The following is a 20233-nucleotide window of genomic DNA, read 5'->3' as shown; positions in this document are numbered from 1 at the left end:
GTTGCTTAGTTGTTTTTTAAGGACATTTTAAAGAATTTTCCAGCATGTCAGTCAATGCCAGCTCAGACACTGAAAAGGTCCCATAGGAGGGAAACCAGGTGTTAAATGTTTAGGGACAGGAGGTTTCTACTAATCATCCCTGTCCCTAAAGCAGAGTCTTTCCAGCCCTGAGGGCTGTCTGTGGGCTGCCTCAGGGCAAGCTCAAGGCCGAAGCCCTAGAGCGGGGAACTAGGGAAGGGGAAGGAGGCCAGCAAGAGAGTCAGAGTGGAGAAGAGGAGGGCCCCTGCGCAGGGAACACTCTGAATCACACTGTGATAGCCACAGGACAAGTCTCAGGGCAAATGGTGTGGCACGCCACACAGACACTGATCGTCTAACGTGTAAGCAGCCGGCAGGCACAGAACAGCCCGTGAGCCTGCTCAGGGAGTCCCAGCCGGCTTGTCCTCTCAGCTGCTCTGACCATTCAAGGCAGATATGACAACATTTCCGAGGCAGAATTTTGTTACCGTCTATTTGGCATAGGCAACTGGAAATCCTCCAAAATCCAGTTGCCAGGCATGGAACCAGTTAGGTGGCAAGCATCAGAACCATTGGGAGCCATCCCTGGAAGTGCCAGCTATGGGCTTTCCTGGATTCTCCAACCATGTCCTCACAAGCGTGAAGCCTGCCTCTAAAATATTTCAGCCAATCCGTATATCTTGAAATTGAGTATTATGAATTTTACCCTTTTTAAAAATAGCCATCATGCTAAAGAGCAAGCCATCAATTTCACCACTTAAAAAAAAAACACACATTTCTAGCATTCCTGGTGCTCTTGAGTATTGATGGAGATGAAGAGATAACTGGAACTCCAGTAGCAGCCTCAGGATGGGAGCTTCCAGATTAGAACTTGAGCTTCCCCTCCATGGGGTGTGCACTTGCTAGCAGAATGGTGGCTAACTGGGTTAGGGGTTCACCTAAGTCAGACAGAAAATGTCCCACTGTAGGTGCCAGTGTATTTTAAGTTACAGACACCATAGCCCTGAGTCATGTACCTCTGGAGCCAGAGAGCTTAGGCCTAGGGAGAATTTTATCAACCTTGGTTTAGGGGGTGGGAGGCTGGGTTCAAGTCAGCTCTGACGTTTATTGCAGGGCTTGAGGTGGGTCTGGGGTTCTTGATCTATAAAATAGGGGCAATCTCTGCTTACCTCCTCAGGTGGTTGTGAAGGTTACAGAAGATACTTGGATGGGCCCTTTGCACACAAGAGCCCCCATGGTGTCAGTTTGGTCACTCCAAGATGGCAAGGACCCAGTGTGTTTAGAACCAGCATTTGGGAGAAGAACCCAGTGCAGGAGGAGGATGCTTTTGAATGGGCAGTCTTTGCCTAGAAAATCAATTATATAGGGCACCAAGGGAGAAAGCTGGCCCTAGGTTCTTGAGCCATAGATGCTAACTCTCCTAAAGGACTATCTACAGGGACCTTTCCTATAGAAAATCCAGTGTGGGGAGAAGGTAGAAATCCAGGCCTCCCTGCTCTGCAAACCAGCAAACCATCAAAGGGTACAAGGAGATAAGGGGGTTGCAGTCCTAGCAGATTCCTCTGGCGAGAAGCCAGGTGTGCCAACTTCCCAGGTATGTTTGCCTGTGTTGTGCCAGGGACCTGCTGCTTCTCCCTCCCACAACCCCCACCTTCTCACATGGGTGAGGGCCACCTGAGCAGCTGTGGGGCTCCAGGGAGTGAAGCTGCTGAAAACCCTGCCTTTTCCTGCTCCCTGGAGGCAGCTCCCTTATCCCTGCCAGCTCTGTGAATGCCAATGAAACAGACTCTTTCAGTGGATATTTATGCAGTTACAGAGCAAAGAATGGTCCTGACCCCATGTAAATACACTGATTCAAGTCAGGAAGAGCAGCCAAGGGTGTTCAGTGAATTTACTGCAGAAAAGCTAGCACGTGGAAGCTTGGAATTGGGCTGTGAGTACTTGGGCTGCTTCTAAGGTTCTGGTTTGAAAGCCACTGGTATGAAAGCCAGTGGGTTCTGGGGTGCTCTGAGCTTGGTGGAAGTAAAAGAGTGGGAGCTCCCAACAAGCAGAGAGAAGCCTGCCTGCCCCCAGCACTGTGCACAGGGTGGGTCCCAGGAAGCTCTGCATTACTTAAGGTAATGCTAGCTTTGCTTACTGACACATTGCAAGAGTACCGTGGCTCAAACACAATAGAAGTTGATTTCTCACTCACTTAAAGCCCCAAATGGTTTTTCCTGATGGCAGGCGGCCCTTCCCCCTGCAAGCCGTGATTCAGGCATGCAGGCCCTTCCATCCTGTGGCTCCACTATCTTCAACAGGGAGCTTCTAAAAGGTCCTTTTGCATCAAGCTGAGGGGAAGGGGAAAAGGGTTGGAGCATCACATGTGGAAGGAAGCTTTGTAGGATCCAGGCCTGGAAGTGGTGCCCCTCACTTTCAACTCACGTTCCCTTTGCTAGAACTCAGGCACATGGCCACACCCAACTGCAAGGGAGGCTGGAAAATGTAGTCCAGGAAGAAGATGAGATGGGTTTGGTGAACAGCTGGCCAGTCAGCCACAGATGAAATATTTCTGGGAAGCACGGGAATGAACCCCTGCCTGGGATGCAAGCTGGACCAGAGGCATGGGAAGTGAGAATTGAGCTCCAAAAAGAAAAGGGAGCACCTATTTCAAGCTGTGTCCTTCATGGGCCAATATTCGCTAGCTGCAGTGGTAATGGTGGAGAGGGAAGTCCAAGCAGGGCTGGGCCAAGACAGCAAAGCTAGGCAGACCTGCCTGAGGTGCAGATGCAGGCTGAGAAATCCTAGGTTCTGGTCAGAGACCGAAGACATCTCTACTTCTTCCTTCCTGCCTTTCTCTACTCCCACCTGCTCTCTGCACGCAACCAGGAACCTTTGCTCCTTTGCTGTCTCTCTTCCATCTCCTCCAGAAGTGCCTTCCCTGCAGTGAACGTTGTGCATGTTCTGGAAAGCTCTGACCCTCCCTCCCATCAAAACAACCATTCCCGGGGATTCACAGCTCAGTTCCTGGGGGTGGGGAGTTGGCGGGATGGGAAGCAACAATCCAACAAACCCAGTCACACCAAGGTGGTACCAGTCTGCTGGGGATGCTTAGAAACTGAGATGAGAAAATAAATGTGAAATACCTAGTGGGGAGCATGGTAAATGCTTAGTAAATGGTTTATTATCAACTTGTCAGTGTGCGTGTGAGAGGGAGTAAGTGGGGGTGGGGGGAAGAGAGAGAGAGAGAGAGAAAGAAAAAGAATGAAAGAAAGAAAGAAAGAACAAGAAAGAGGAGGAGGAGGAGGAGGAGGAGCTAGCAAAGCCCTGCAAATTAAACGGTTTTATCTTTTCCTCCCAACCTAATGGCTCACTAGTGAATTGATGGCTTCCTGCTCGTCAGGGCCTGAGAGAACATCAAGATTGTGTCGGTTGAGTTGTCAGTCCTTTAGGGCACAAGGTTAATTGATGGGTGATTCTGAACACCCTTTAAAAGAGCTACTAGGTTGGTGCAAAATTAATTGCAGTTTTTACCATTGAAAGGAATGGCAAAAACCGCAATTACTTTTGCATGAACCTAATAGATAACCCCTCTAATGTTTGAAGCACTCTTGACTCTCCGCTAAGCCTCACCAGCCCTGGGCTTCAGGCACCTAACCTACTAGCCTGCCCCAGACACACCTGTCCTCTTCTGCCTTTCCTTCTGTCCTGCACTTTTGGAAAACCCTCCTCCATTCCACCATCTCCTGCGCCAAAATCCTACTCATGTGGCAAGGTCCAGTTCACAGGTCAGCTGCAACAATAAAGATTTGATGACTGGAATTCAGAGGGAAAAAAATACCTGAGGTGGAACAGGTGAGGAGGGAGAATCCTGATTTAAGGATCCCCCTTGACTATTAGAGGGACAACAGGTGGCTTCACTCCTACTTGGCCACTCTGTGTGTGTGTGTGTGTGTGTGTGTGTGTGTGTGTGTGTGCACGTGTGCACATGTATGTGTGCAAACACATGCATTCTGGAACTCTTCCCCCAATAAAATAGGAAATAATACCTATAATCGTTATTGCTAACTAGCCAGATGTTATACAGCCGATCTTTTTCCTTCCCCCACCCCAACTTCGTATTGTTTATGCTATATTAGCTCCAACCATGATACTTGCTTTAGGACACATACAGTGAGTTTTTAGGGACTTCAAAAGCCTCACCAACCCTAAGATTCTGCGGAGGATGTTGTTCTGCTTTTGACAAAACAGAATTCCAGAAAGAAGCTTCCCTGTCTAAAAGATGAGTACTCTTCACCCTCTCTTTCCTGCATTGTCTGTACTTCTCGGGTCGAGGTTATTATTATTATTATTATTATTATTATTAGGCAGCATGCAGCTGATGAAGTGAAGTAGTGTTTATTTATTGATTTTTGGTCCCCGAGTTGGAACACAAGATCACCAGAAAAGAAACTCCCTCTGTGACTCATCCCAGGAACATCTTGCATTCCAGCCAGCACAAATATGATTCAAAGAACTTTCTGGAGGGCCCCAGTTATATTTTAGCAAAGGAACACATTAGCTATGCTGACCATCTCTTGAACGTTTTGCTTTTGGAAAGATAGTCATCTCTGGCCCCCTCGTGTGTCTTGTTTTTTTTATAAGATCTTGAGTCACACCCCTTTTGAGCTGATTCCCCTGTAGTGTGAGCATTGTTATTATAAAGGAGTGTCTTCTTCACAGGGGTTACAGAAGGTACCACCAACTGGGGAAACATTTGGTCATGGTGGCCTAAATTAATGACATTTCGATATTCACATAAGCATTGAGACTTTCCAGGCCATGGCTGGTGTAGCAGACATTTGTCGGTGTCCTGCCATTTCCTGCCCAGACTGGCCTCTTATACACCAAATGCTACTTACTGCAAACATCCATGATGCTCCCTAAAGGTGTGAGTTTTTGGTTTTTGGTTTTTGTCTCAGGAGCACACTAGATCTGCATGCTGGGCTAGCTGGAAGTGCCAAGGAATGACTACATCCTCCAGGAGCAGCCCTTGGCCAGTGATGGATGGGGGCGGGTGAATAAACAGCCCAACTTCCTAGCCTCTCGGTTGAGATGACTCTGAGGTCTCCCCAGTGGAATTGAGCTTCAGTTGCCCACAGTGGTAACTTGTTTGATAAATTGGCTTCCTTGCTTTCCCTGTCTCACCACTTCACTCCTCTACTGGTGTTGTCTGGGATCTTCTCCCAAATAAATTACTTTCAGTTAATCCTTGCCTCAGGGTCTGTTTGTGGGGGAGCCCAAGCTAAGACAACTAGCTAGTTGAGTTCACCAAAACCCAACAGCCTCCTCTCTTCACTCCCCTTGCCCTGTTCATCACCATCGTTAGTAATGATTCAAAGCACATAATAGGTGATGGTCATGAAGTTGCCATTGTGGCTGTAGCGCTGCAGTAGGGTGTTGTGCATGGGAGTGCAGTCCTTTGAGAGCCCTAACTTCTGCATGGAAACCTGGTAAGACAGAAACCAGCGTTTCAGGAGGTAGCCAGTTCAGTAACAGGGCCCTGGACAACTTTGGATGCTGCTAAAATCTCTGCACCAGGGAGGCACGTACTCAGGAGGTTCATGTTGGGTGAGCAATAAGTGTTTGCTGATTGTGTCTGTAAAGGAATGAATAATTGACTCACATTCATGTCCTTCCTTAGTTCTGAGTGCTTAAGGGTCAAGGTCACGCCCCTGCCCCCTTTATTTGATCTCAGGTGCCTTCCAATGGGCCCCGCAAACTTAATCATAGTTGTCGGTTCTTATCTCTATGGAGAGATTTCAAGACAGCTAGGAAGGTTCCTCCCCATGACCAGTATCTGAAATGACTCAATTATAGTTTCATTTCTTTGTCCATAGCTTTATTACTGGCTGGATTATCTTTATTATACCAATAAAGGAACATAATACTTCAGCCTTATCAGTCATGCACCTCATTGAGAATGAGTTTATCAGCTTCTTTCTGGAAAACCCAATTTTGATGGGAGAAATCTAATAATTCTGACTATCCAAGGAGAGATTGGAGGAGCTGGCGGGTAGGCAAAAATAAATATTAGACACAGAAAGAAGGTACATTTAGATTTTTTTCCTGGGACTGATAACTCAGCCAAGCCACAAGGGGATGTGCTTGATGATTTTAGAGGCATAGGAGAAGTTCTGCCCAAATTTGGAGCACCTTCCCTAAGTACTTGCAGTACTCAGACTTGTAAACAATGCTATATTTTATTTTTTTTACCATGTCCTCACTGTGCTAAGAAGTTCCAGTCCTGTCTCTCCCTCCACCCTGCTGTCCTGCAACCAAGCTATTGTAGGTTACAGCATCCCCTTGTGGCCAGCTAAGTAACTCTCATTCAGTGTTTTCCTCACAGCTTTCCTCAGTTTCTCTGTGTTCTTTCACTCTTCTGTTATAGCTAACCAATCTTTCCTTTGGACCTACATGAACTTTTGAATCTTCTCTCCTTCGACTCTTGCCTAGTTACCTCAAAAAGGCTCTTTGCTTTCTCTCTCCCTCTTATCCTTACCCTCATCCTCTCCGCTTCCACTTCTTCCATGTTTTTGTGAGTGAGAAAATGAGCTTCATCGCCACTGAAAAGTAGGAGAGGAGAGCTACTTAAGCTCTCGTGCAAAGGAGAAGGAAAACTGAAGGATATGAAGTGAAATTATGTGCGGTCAATCAGCAGTAACTTCCGAACCCTTGAAAGTGCTCATGAGTCCATATTCAAGATACAAAAGGTTCTGGCCACCTTTTCTTTCTCCCCCAGGCTTTCAGTCTGAATGAGAAACAGATTTGTGTATTTATTTGTCTTCCCACTATATTTAATTTCTAACATTGGGAGAGCATTGTTTTCTGTTTTCACTTCAAATGCTCATTTCAGCTATGTTGGGTGTTAGGTGGGTTTTTGTGGGCTGGCCTGGAAACCTTCCCGTCAGGTGTAACACCAAGCTTATGGTAAGTGCCTTCTTAGTTCCTAGTAGCTGATTTTTACATGAATCTTTGAACAAACAGGGTTGCGAATGAATAAAGCCATTCAGGTGCAAAGGGAGCATGGGTGATACTACTCAAGATGCTCACAAGAAATATGGCCGGTGGATCTGATGATGCCAATGATGCCAATGGCACAATGATGATGATGGCACTGACAATGAGAATGATGGTGAAGATGAAGACTGTATCGACAGTGCTGACAACAATAATGCTAATGACATTGATGATGGTACCAGTGATGATGATGACAATACAATAATTGCCATGATTTACTGAGCACTTTCTGTGTGTCAGGCACTGTGCCAAGTACTTCACTTAGCTTATCTCCTTTAATCATTACAACCACCCAATGTGACAGGTTTTTTTTTTTAATCATTTTACACAGAGAGAAACTGAGGCTGAGAACTTACTTGCCCCAGGTCACACAGCTAGCAAAATTAGGCAGAGCTGAAGTTTGAACCTAGGCCTGTCTAAGTTCAAAGCTTATACTCCTAACCACTCTCATAGGGGGCCCAGGGCCCAGGGTGAGGCTGACACTGTCTCCATGCCAAAGGGTGGCAAGGGATTCACATGCATTAGAAGAAGGGGAAAATCTGAACTCCAGTTCTTTGTACTTCAGAAATCTGCACCCCTTCCTTCCAGTGACCCCTCAGAGGGTCTATTTCTGGCACACTGGTCTCTGGAAAATGTCCTGCTAATGACACAGGATTATAAACAGTCTTTTTCCCAGAACAAAAATTTAACCTTTGTATCTCAATCTAATTAGAAGTATTTTCTCTTCCAGAGGCAGGTTTTTTCCTCCTCTTTGTTCCAAATTTAAGAGGTTTCTTTGTTGCCAGAAAAATGTCCAAAAACCGTAGCTCTTTAAGATGATAGACCTTGGCCCAAGACCTTAAACGTGACCTGAGCTCCTGCATGAGATGGCTGTTCCAGCAGCAGCACCTGAGGGTGCTTGGGGTTCTGGGTGTCCAACCGAACTGTAGGGCATTGGCCCAATGCAGGGATGGGCACTTGCTGACTCTCACAGTCCCCTGTCCAGGTGAGTGTTCCCTACCACCACCAGCAGCTCTTTATGATTTTCTTCTGTGATGCTGAGGTTTGCCAAGACCTGAGGAAGGCAGTTCATTCCTGTTAGTATCAGGAGCAGCCATCTCTAGAAAATATACATTTGTTCCTTTCCTTAGAGAGATCCTTGCATGAATATCACCCCTTCCAGCTGTCTAGGGACTGGCATTCTTACCTTAGAGACTTACTCCTTTACCTCTGCAGGAAATGTGAGCCTTAAAGGAGCCCTGTTAAAAGCAGATAATCCTGGGATAATATGGATTTGGTTAATATCTTCAGAATGGAGCCAAGAGAGATGGCAACCTGCCTACAAAGAAAGTGGTATCAGGTTGGAGGAATAAGAGATGCATGCCTGGCACACAGTAGGTGCCCACATCATTTTTGAAAGAATGAATAAAAATGAATGGCCACAAATCTAGTTCCATACTGTAGCCCTGCAGTCAGGCCCGTGTGGGCCCCCAAACCCATCATAGATCCTTTGCGGGCAGGCTGAAGGTAGTAGGGGCTTGGAAAACCAGGCCTGGGAGCTGGTGGCGTCCTCCCTCCAATTCCTCCTTGGTGCTCCCACTTGCCCATCCTTTGGGGCCCACAGCAATTCCTCCTCCGGCAGCTCCTGGGAGGCTAGGTTTGACTCCTCCCCAGCAGGCACCACTGGCTCCAAGGAGGCCTGAGTGAGAGTAGGGCAGTCCCCCATGTTACAAAAGAGGAAACTGAGTCCCAGATGTATAAAACAACATTCCAACAGTCATGAAAAGTTCATGTGTGTCCTGAATCTCTTCATTTCAATGACTTATCTTTTGGATATCACTGAGTCAAGGCATGGGGGTGTTCTTTTTTTGAGCAAGCTCCTCACCTGTCAAACTTTTTGACATTTTGTTGGTTGAATAAAGCCATCCCACATACTTTGGCGTTAGATGCTGGTTCCAATAGAGATGTTCTAATCTTGGGTGACTGACTGTGCTGACTCTATAGCTCGTGTGTTAAACTCAAGTGCTCCTCAACATCCTTTGAAATGTGAAACAGAGGCAACAGGTGGGGTAATGTGCCTTTAAGGAAGGAGAACGGGTCTGGGAGTCAGTGTACTCTATGCTGTGTGAACTTGAGCAAGTCACTTCTCCTCTGAGCCTCAGGTTCCTGTTCTTCAAAACAAGAGGGGTGGGGCCGGGCACGGTGGCTCATGCCTGTAATCCCAGCACTTTGGGAAGTCGAGGTGGGAGGATTACTTGAGGCCAGGAGTTCAAGACCAGCCTGGGTACCATAGTGAGATTCCAGTCTCAACAAAAATAAAAGTAAAAATCAGGTGGGCATTGTGGCACACACCTGTAGTCCCAGCTACTTAGGAGGCTGAGGCAGGAGGGTTGCTTGAGTCTTGGAGGTTGAGGGTGCAGTAAGTAATGATTGCACACTGTACTCCAGCCTGGGCAACAGAGTGAGACTCTCCCCCCAAAAACACAAAAAAACCCAGAAGGGGTAGGTTGGGCCAGTAACACTAAGACTTGTTAAGGCAGGGGCACCCTGGAAGTCTCCCTGGGCCCTGAGAGCTTCATTTCTCCTGCTGAGTTGTAACGTTTTCATTCTCACACTCCTATTAGAAAAAAAAAATTTTGAGCACTCCCCTTAACACACACACACATGCACACACATATATAATTAGATTTATATGCCTTCCTATATTTATTACATACACTATAAAATAAAAAACAGGAATTAAAAAGATTAGATGATAAAACAAACATAAATAAGTTTTATGATACCTCAGGGCATGACCTTACCTCCTCTCACTGGGAAGACCTTGGGCCCTCCTGCTGTTTATGGCCAGTTTCTGACGCTTGGCTCCACTTCTCCTATTTTTCACAAATATCAGATCAGAGATAATATTTGTACTCTGTCCTCCCTAACAGATCTTCCCCGTAGCCACTGTCCGTCCTCATGAAGTTTAGTCCCAGTTGCAATGTTTGTGGTCACTACTGTTTTCATAAATGAATTAGCGTGTCAGGGAACTCATCTGTAAAGCTAATCTGGGCATTCATATTCCCTTCAGAGGGCTGTGTAGACCTCTGGATGTAAAAGGCAGTCGACCATAAGGCAGGTGACTATTTTGTGTATTCCTCATATTTTAACCAATTTGAGACTACATTCATGTGGTAATTATGTTCACAGCTTTGGTAAAAAGGACCTGTACTGATGTTTAAAGCTTAGAAAATTTAACCACTGGGGCAAGTAATTGACAATTATTATACCCTATGGGGAGAGGAAAACCAGTTGTTACCCAGTTGGAATTACTTCTTAGATATTTAGTGCATCTCAAGTCCCGAATGGTAAAACCATGTACATGTAGAATTAAATGATGAAAATTATGCTTTTCTTACTTGGCTCATAGAGAGTGGCTGGTGATTTTTATGCAGAATTAGGTTAGTCATTGAAGGTTTGGTTTAAGTACTGAATGGAAAGCACAAAATAGACTCAGAATAGGGCATTGATGGAAGGGGCAAGATTCTTAGCAGAGGTCTCTGGGAAGTCAGCCTTGCAAGAGGGAGAGCCATCTCACGTCTTCCTGGGGGTGAGGGCACATGGGGAGACACTGCGGGGGCCGGGGGGGAAGAGGAGGGAGTTTGGTGTGTTGATAGCCTCAGTCTTTTCTGGGAAGTAAGAAGGAAGATGGGCGATTGAGAAGGTCAGCAGACCAGCAGTCGTGTGCTCTGGCCTTTAGATTAAGGGTCCGCAACCTCACTGTACATTAGAATCACCTGCTGCATCCTAGAATAATTAAATCAGAGTCTTAGGGGTAGGACCTAGGCATGGTTTTTTTTTTAAGTTCCAGATTACTCCAATGAATAGCAAAATCTGAGAACCAGTGGTAGACCAGCACTTCTCAGACTTTAATGTGCATACACATCTCCTGGGGCCCTGTTTGGAAGGCAGATTCTGATTCAGTGGGTCTGGGCTGTGGCCTGAGATTTGTATTTCTAGCAAGATCCTGGGTGCTGCTGCTGCTGCTGCTCCAAGGACCCCACTTTGAGCAACAAGGGCATCCAGGGGTATTCAATCTTTTGGCTTCCCTGGGCCACATTGGAAGAAGAATTGTCTTGGACCACACATAAAATACACTAATGATAGCTGATGAGATAAAAAAAAGAATTGCAAAAAAAATCTCATAATGTTTTAAGAAAGTTTACAAATTTGTGTGGGCCGCATTCAAAGCCGTCTGGGCCGCATGCGACCCTTGGGCCGCCAGTTGGACAAGCTTGGGTAGACAGTCCTACTTTGACTAGAAATAATTGATAGCCGTCTCCATGCTCCATAGAAACCAAAGCTGTTGATATTTTACAATTGGAAAACCCATATCTTGAGAAAATTTTCAGCATATGTTTTAAGATGTGATTGTTGTAGGGGAAGAAACTTACCTTGATAGATGGCTTAATTTAAAAAGCAAAATACTTGACCTCTAATTTAGGCTATTCTCCAAGTCCTAAAATCCACCTATTTGTTGGTTGCGGGCATCTAACACTGACCCATCAGAGCCTCCCGTGGCTGGTGAAGGTGAGTGGCTGCCATGTTCTCCCACCATGGCACCTGCGGGTCTGACCCTCTGCTCTTCCCGAAACAAGAGCCTGGTGACCTCTGTAAGAAGTGGCCTTGTGTAAGTTTTAGTCAGCCTTTTTGAGTTGCAGCTTACTCATCAATAAAAAGAGTCGGCAAGAGACTTGAGATGTCAGCTTTAATGTCCCTGCCCACCTTGACACTCCATGAGTGTATAAATGGTGTGCCTGCGACAAGAGGGTGAGGATGAGAACACCAGGCTCAGGAAGGCTTAGGCGTTCATTTGTGCACCAATTCATCCAGAAGATATTTCCTCAGCACCTACTAGTGCCAGATATGAGGTGGGAGACTATCCCCTGCTCCTGGAGAAAGAAGTAAATAAGAAATCCCAGTATGGGCTGGGCAGAGTCAGGACTAGACAAAGTCAAGTTGGGGTCCTTTGGGAGCCCAGTGAGGGTGGGGGATGATCTCAGAAGAAGCAACTTTAGAGCTGAACCCCTTAAGTCAGACAGATGAGCAGGAGTTGGCTGGGTGAAGGCTGAGGTGGGAGAGAGCTCCAGGCTAATGGTCAGACCCTAGGGAGACCGGCCTCTGGTATAATTAGATCTTTGCAATAATTAGATGAGGGGTTCAGATAACAGTTCTGTGACCCCATGATATGGTTTGGCTTTGTATCCCCACCCAAATCTCACGGCAAATTGTAATCTCCAGTGTTAGAGGTAGGGGCCTAGTGGGAGGTGATTGGACCATAGGACTTCCCCCTTGCTGTTCTTACGATAGAGTTCTCAACAAAATCTGCTTGTTTAAAAGTGTGTGGCACCTCCCCCCACCTCTTGCCGGCCACGTGAAGATGTGCTTCCTTCCCCTTCACCTTCTGCCATGATTGTAAGTTTCCTGATCCCCAGAAGCAGAAGCCTGTATGGCCCACAGAACCGTGAGCCAATTAAACCTCTTTTCTTAATAATAAATTACCCAGTCTCAGGTATGTCTTTATAGGAGTGTGAGAACAGATTAATACACCCCAAAAGTCTGCAAGCAGAGCTAGTCTCCCAGTCCCTCCCTACCTCCTCATCTGTCCTGGGCCCTGAGTCTTTTCCCCACTGTCTCCATACAGGGGGCACATGGGCTACATGGGGGTGAGGCCCTAGCAACTGGCTGCAAACCAAGATGGTGAGGTCTCCAGGGTCTCCAGCAACTTGCAGATCCAGGTTGCCTGCTTCCTACCCAGCCACACTGCCACTGTTTACTGACCTCCACTCCCACACCCCTGGGGATAATGGGGACAGGTGGAATGGATGGGTGCCCTCATTTAAACCCATTTGAAAATGTTTTGCAAAACGCAAACGAAATGTTCCCTGTCACCTCTGAAGAAATTCATGCCCCCTGGGCTTGAGCATCAACCGGCTCCTTTGATGCTCCTTGATTTGAAGAGGTCCCCCACCCACCCTAGGCCCAAGCTAATCAGCAGCTTGTCTGAGTGGGGAGATGGGCCTCCACCTTCTCTCCAGTCACTATCTGGCTACTTGGCTTGTCCTCAGGGACACAGACTCACCCTTTGAACCCACAATTCATGAGATAGTTTTGTATTCTTAGGGCATCGCCGAGGCTTCCAGTATTAGCCCCTGCAGCAGCAACACCCACTATGCTCCCACTGGATGCACCCAGACCACCTCAGCTGCTGACTCAGAGTCAGAGTGGGGTGCTTGCTGGCAGGTTGAACAGCAAGAGGAGGAGATGTAGTGAGAAAGACCGAACGAGGCTTTCTGGGAGGTGGGAGGGTGCATGATGAAGGCCAAGTTCATGTTCCTTTGCCTGGGTGTCCCAAGGCCAGCGCCATACTTGGTGGGGACTAGGTGGAGGCAGGCAAGCCTGTCTCAGGGCCAGCAGCTCTCTAGAGAAAAGCCCAGGGCTACTCTCAGGCCTGCTTTGGCTGAGTAGTCAGGCAGATCTGGAGCTGTCCTGTTGAAGGAGGTGGAAGTGAGGTTTGGGCCAGGGGTTTTTCCCCTTTGCCCTGAGATCCTGCATACTGCTCCCCTCTACCCACACCTTGGCCTGTCCTCTGTCCTTCATCCCACTGGGCCTCAGCGTTTTTCCCAGAGACTTGAGTCACAGCAGGGGATGCAAGGGCCTCTCTGTAGCTCATTGGTGCTGAGATGCCCTCCAACCCATGTGACATCTGTCTCTGGAAGGCAGGCTGGGGACAGGTGAGTAACCAGAAGTAGGCTGAGAGGATGGAGGCCCCTCAAGCCCTCCAGTAACAGAACCATAGCCACTTCGGGCTGCAGTCCCCAAGGACAGGAGGAACTCCGGTGACCAGAGGGACAGACGAGGCCCCTTGTGGGGGAAAAAAGAACAACAGTTCAATGACTTTACTGGGAAGGACCTGGCCTCCACTTTGAAGAAATGTGATGCTCTCATACTGTTTCCTGCATGCCTCTGCAGGCACATGCACTCGGTGTTGAAGGAGAGGCTGTGGGGACTGCTTTTCCCAGGAAACAAAATGCATGGAGGGGCGTGGCCTTCACAGCTCTCCCAGTCGAAGGGAAGCCTGGGAAGCCCAGCCTTTATGTACCTTTAGGCTAGTTATTTAATCTCCCTGTGGAATCAGTTTTTCCACCAACAAAATGGGCATAATTGTAAGACCCCTCTGGCTGGGTTGTTCTCAACAGAGGGCCTGGCAAATGGTAGATGCTCAATGAGTTGTAGCTCTTGCCATCCATGGGAGGAACAGGGGCCTGAGGGAGGCCGCCTGCCCTGGCAAAGTCCTCTTTTCACTTTCTGAGCAGGACTGTTCTGGGAATGTTAGCAGGCCTAGACCAAAGCCAGGCAGGGAAGGGACTGAGGTTTCACAGGAAATGATGAGAACTGGTACCTAAGCTGAAGGTGTGTGCAAGGAGCAGGTGGAGGAGGCATCCAGAAGTTTGTCTTCTTTCCTTTGGGAGGGGATTGAGAGAAGCAGACAGGGAGGGAGAGAAGCTGCCATTTCTGCGAGGGTGGAGAGATGCAGCTGTTATGAGAAAGCTGTCTCACAGCTGGATAATCCTAACCCCACAGGAAGACCAAATGTGGCACAGAACATGTCTTGACTTCTGTAGCTGCCCTTGTCCTCACCAGTCCTACTGCAGCTTCCCTTCAGCCTTTTCTTACCCTTCCCCAAGGGTTCTGGCCACTGTGAGGGACAAGGATCTGGCCTTAGGTTCTCAGGGCCTTCATGGGGCTTTGTGCAAGTGGCCAACAAATATTTGTCCTGCTGATGTGGATGCCTCTCCTGGCATAACGTTGATGCGTTTGCATGCTAGCAGATCTCTGATCAAAGACGTGTTGCCTCCACTAGAGTATAATGTCCATGAAAACAAGAACCTCGTCTGTTTCACTCAGGATGAGTGAATGAATGAATTCATACATGCATGCATGAATGAATGGTGTATTAGAGGCCAGGTGCAGTGGCTCACACTTGTAATCCCAGCACTTGGGAAGCCGAAGTGGGAGGATCACTTGAGGCCAGGAGTTCAAGATGATCCCGGACAACATGGTGAAACCCCATCTCTACTAAAAATACAAAAATTAGCTGGGCATGGTGGTGTGCACCTGTAGTCCCAGCTACTCGGGAGGCTGAGGCAGAAGAATCACTTGAATCCAGGAGGCAGAGGTTGCAGTGAGCCAAGATTGCGCCACTGCGCTCCAGCCTGGGCTGCAGAGCAGGACTCCCTCTCACAAAAAAAAAAAGAAAGAAGAAAAAAGAAAAAAAAAAAAAGGCATGTTGGAGGCATGGCATCTTCTGGGCTGAATCAGGATTCACTCCTAAAGAACCAGACCCTTCAGCTAGGGCAAGCCCCCTCAGCCTCCCTGGGGCCAGGCTGCCTCCCAACTCTGTCCCAAGGGGGTTACTGGCCAGCATGCTGGGTCACCTCATGGCTTCCAGAGGGAGACACGCTCTGGATCCTGCCAAAGGTGTGGCCCACCAGTCATTCTCCACAAAGTTGTTTGCACAGCATCCTTTCCCTCCCCCCTTCTCCTCCTGCCTCAGAGAAACTCCTTGTTCTGTGCATGTGACACATTCTGATTGCCTGGAAATACCACAGAGTTGTTCATTTGTTAAAGCTGCCTTACTGTAGTGAGACATCATTTGCTTATTTCTTTTCTTTTCTTTTCTTTTTTTTTTAAAGGAGTCTCACTCTGTCACCCAGGCTGGAGTGCAGTGATGCGATCTCGGCTCACTGCAACCTCCGCCTCCTGAGTTCAAGCCATTCTCCTGCCTCAGCCTCCCGAGTAGAGTAGCTGGGACTACAGGCGTGCGACATCATGCCCAGCTAATTTTTGTATTTTTAGTAGAGATGGGATTTCATCATGTTGGCCAGGCTGGTCTCGAACTCCTGACCTCAAATGATCTGCCCACCTCAGCCTCCCAAAGTGCTGAGATTACAGGCATGAGCCACTGCACCCAGCCTCGTTTGTTTATTTCTAGCCCCATGGTGTGCTGGGCCGCCTCTCTTTCTTTGGAGGTTGTGTTGGTAATTTCGGGGTGAGGAGAGGAGGACGAGCTGACCACAGGACTAAAGTCTAGGCAGTTGGGATAGATGAGGTAAAAAATCTCAGTTGCCCAAGGCCTGCCCAGTGAAACTGAGGATTATTGAATTATTATTGAGCCCAACCAGACTCCAAGGCTGCTCAGATCCCTGAGTTAGACATGGTGCCTGCCTTCTCCATGGTAACGAGGCCAAATATGGACAGGTTTCCATGGAGAGCCCTATCGCATCTGCAGCCCTGCTTCCACCAGGAAGCACACGCGCTAGGTGCCTTTGGCCTCTCAGGAGGTGGCCAGAGGTCTGTGGGAGGTGCCGAGGACATTGAGAAAGTGTGCCTGACCTATGAGGATTTTCGTTTCCAACAAGTGTTCCATCTCCCCAGCCCTAGGCTCACCAATGCCCTCTTCCTCTTGGCAGCTAGATATTAGGAGAGGCCACAGATCAGATAGATGAGCTGATTGGGGAAGTGACAGTGGACCCAATGACCATTCATGCAAGTCATCATCGATCTTCACCTTGCCCTGGGGAACGGATTTTGCTGTTACTGGGAGAAATGGGAATGTCATTGGTCAGAGGGAGACAGAGAGACAACTGTAATGACCCTTGTGCTTATCAAACCTCTTTTGGAAGAATGATTGCTACAGAGTATTTAAAATGCCATTTTCCATAGTCATAGCATATTCACATGTGACAAGGCATTATTTTTTTCCTTAAAGGAAAGTAAGTCTTCACTGCTTATTTGAATTTGAACAAGTCAAATTTCTACATATCTTAACTGTCTGACATAGCAACTTGGACTGAAACTTCGTTTTTGTTGAAGGCCAAACATATAAGCTGAGAATTAGGCTTAAAAAATGCCTGGTTTAACCTCACTTGGCTATTTACTGATTACATCATCTGCATTTATAGCTTAATCATCTGTTAAATTGGGGTTCTCCACGCACACAGGATCATGTGGTTGTGTTTGTATATATTAGGAGATATCTATAACCTGAACATATACATAGAGAGATGGGTTATGCTCCCTGGTTAACTAAAACGTGGAAACTTTCTAAAGATGTGAGAGAGCTCTTAAGGCAATTATAAATAGTCTTTTAAGGAAGATTCATATTGTATGTTCTGTGTTGCAGGCCAAGTGGCATCAGAGCTGAGTGATGGACGACCTGCAGTCCCAGAACCTCTCCATGGACATGACTGACTCCCCTCCTGCCTTGGCTAATAACAGACTGGAGAATGGCATGGCTCAGCTGATCACCACCGAGGCCTGGAACATCAACTCCACTGACCTGGTAAAGAAGGCCCTGGTGACCGTGCCAGCCCCATCCATTCTGAACCCCCCTGCCGAGTCTCAGAGTGGCATGGCTCTGAAGGTGGCGGCCACTGTGTTGCAGCCCCTGTGCCTCGGGGAGAGCCCAGTGGTGATGCCCATTCACATGCAGGTGGAGGGAAGCTCCGCACCAGAGCTCAATCCGAATGGCAATGCCACCTACGTCATGACCACCCAGGGCCCCGTGCAACTGCCCGTGGTGCTGGAGCAGCACGTCTTTCAGCACCTCAACTCCCCTCTGGTCCTGCCGCAGGAGGCCCCATGCTCCTCCAGTACCATCCACAACAACCTCTTCCAGGGAGCGGAGGACCCCGAGGCCCAGCCCCAGCTCCTGGACCTGAGGATCCCCAGCCAGCCGCAGGAGCCCACTTTGCCATTTGAAGCTGTGCTCCAGAATTTGTTTCCCTCCCAGGGCACTCTCGGGCCCCCACCCTGTCAGCCTCCTCCTGGCTATGCCCCTGTGCCCCCACAGCCTTTTAGCTCCCCCTTGTCCCCCCTGGTCCCACCAGCCACCCTCTTGGTGCCGTATCCTGTAATCGTCCCCTTGCCTGTGCCAGTCCCTATTCCCATCCCCATCCCGATGCCTCAGAGTTCTGAATCCAAGTTCAGCTCCAGTTTCCCCAAGCCACCATCTTCCTTCGGCCTGCACCCCTTTAAAGGCACCCAGACCCCTCTGGAAAAAGATGAACTGAAGCCCTTTGACATCCTCCAGCCTAAGGAGTACTTCCAGCTCAGCCGCCACACGGTCATTAAGATGGGAAGTGAGAACGAGGCCCTGGATCTCTCCATGAAGTCAGTGCCCTGGCTCAAGGCTGGTGAAGTCAGTCCCCCAATCTTCCAGGAAGATGCAGCCCTAGACCTGTCAGTGGCAGCCCACCGGAAATCCGAGCCTCCCCCTGAGACACTGTATGACAGTGGTGCATCAGTGGACAGCTCAGGTCACACAGTGATGGAGAAACTTCCCAGTGGCATGGAAATTTCTTTTGCCCCTGCCACGTCCCATGAGGCCCCAGCCATGATGGATAGTCACATCAGCAGCAGTGATGCTGCTACCGAGATGCTCAGCCAGCCCAACCACCCCAGCGGCGAAGTCAAGGCTGAAAATAACATTGAGATGGTGGGCGAGTCCCAGGCGGCCAAGGTCATTGTCTCTGTCGAAGATGCTGTGCCTACCATATTCTGTGGCAAGATCAAAGGCCTCTCAGGGGTGTCCACCAAAAACTTCTCCTTCAAAAGAGAAGACTCCGTGCTTCAGGGCTATGACATCAACAGCCAAGGGGAAGAGTCCATGGGAAATGCAGAGCCCCTTAGGAAACCCATCAAAAACCGGAGCATAAAGTTAAAGAAAGTGAACTCCCAGGAAATACACATGCTCCCAATCAAAAAACAACGGCTGGCCACCTTTTTTCCAAGAAAGTAAATAACGGCTTTTTAAAATTTGTATGATTATAATATGGGGAAAGGTGCATTGGTTTTATAAAAAGGCATTTAAAACAAATTATCTTTGTTAATTATTTTGGGGAGTAGTTGGGAAATGGAAAGGTGAATTGGCTCTAGAGGCCCTGTATGCTAGTATCATTTTCTTTTTTAATTTTTGACTTTTCACAAATGAGTAAATAAGAGCAACCTATTTTTCAAGCAGATTGCACATTTTTTGCAGCTTTAATGGAATATTGGGTGAATTAGAGGGGTAAAAAAAGCTATTTTCATTGCCACAAAGTGCTTTGATGATGTAATACCTAATAAAGGGTAGGATGAATATTTCACAATAAATGTTTGTTTGCACTAATTGGTTGCAGTATTTCATCATTTATAAAATTTACATTCCTTAACTGGCATAATTTGGCCAAAACTCTTGCTTGTGAAAAGCTGTAAGTTATCTGTGATTAGAGACCTAAGCTTTTCAGGCATATTGGAAAATATTGCCCTATGCCCCAGTAAAAGGAGGGTTAGGAATATGGATGACCTTGAGCAAGTCATTTCCCACTTTGGCCTTGGGTTTTTTAAATTTCATTTGTAAAATAAATAAATAAATAAGTGGCAAAGAAAAGGGACAGCGAGGTGAGTTTCAAGTGCCTGAGGCTCCTTCCAGTTCATATAGTTCTTGGGTGTGTAGAATTCTGTGCCTGGACCTTCCATAGTGTAAGACAAGACAAATGTCTCACAACAAAAAAGTAACCTGCTTCCTTCCCACCAACCAAAAGTTTAGTTGGAAATGCCCTTCTTTTCAAGGGCAGTAAGAGCATTGTTCTCAATGATTGAAAATCTTGCAAGTCAGAAGTAGTGGCGCAGGCTAGTGGATCAAGAGATGGCTCATACTTTTTCCCAGCCTTGGATAGAGATCTTTGAGGGTGGAGCCAGGGAGAGAAGACAAAGTCATTCTTTTCTAGTTTAGCCTGGTGATTATCAAATGGGGTGATTGTAACCCCCGGGGGATATCTGGCAAAGCCTGGAGACACTTTTGGTTGTCGCAGCTGGGGGGAGAGATTACTACTGGCATCTAGTGGGTAGAGGTTAGGGATGTTGCTAGACATTCTATAACACACAGGACAGCCCCTAGACCCCAACAAAGAATGATCTGACCTGAGATGTCAGTTGTGCTGAGGCTGAGAATCCCTGGTTAAGCCATTTCTTGACGGACAGAAACGATGCGCGTGGAAGGAGACTGCAGCTCTACCCTGACAGCAAAGGCCACCCACACAAATGAGGAACTGGAGGAACTGTGAATGTGCATTTAGAATAGACCTGCTAGGTGGCACAGCACACTTGTGTC

The 20233-nt window shown here is 47.7% G+C and overlaps 1 protein-coding gene across 11 annotated transcripts in view; it reads left to right on the top strand.

The window, feature by feature from the left end:
• RAI2 (retinoic acid induced 2) overlaps positions 1-19249 on the top strand; it is a 61250-nt gene extending 42001 nt beyond the window's left edge. For 10 of the 11 annotated variants that reach the window (NR_033349.2, NR_033348.2, NM_021785.6 and 7 more), the window contains one exon: positions 17264-19249. Coding sequence is in view for 9 of the 11 variants with exons in the window: in NM_021785.6 (NP_068557.4) it covers positions 17288-18880 (1593 nt within the window). In the remaining 2 variants the exon portion in view is untranslated. The remainder of the gene's footprint in view (positions 1-17263) is intronic. The other variant, NM_001172732.2, reaches the window with a different exon arrangement.

The sequence above is a fragment of the Homo sapiens genome, chromosome X, assembly GCF_000001405.40.
Source record: "Homo sapiens chromosome X, GRCh38.p14 Primary Assembly".
In the NCBI taxonomy this organism is placed as follows: Eukaryota; Metazoa; Chordata; class Mammalia; order Primates; family Hominidae; genus Homo; species Homo sapiens.
This window is presented reverse-complemented; position numbering and strand designations above follow the sequence as displayed.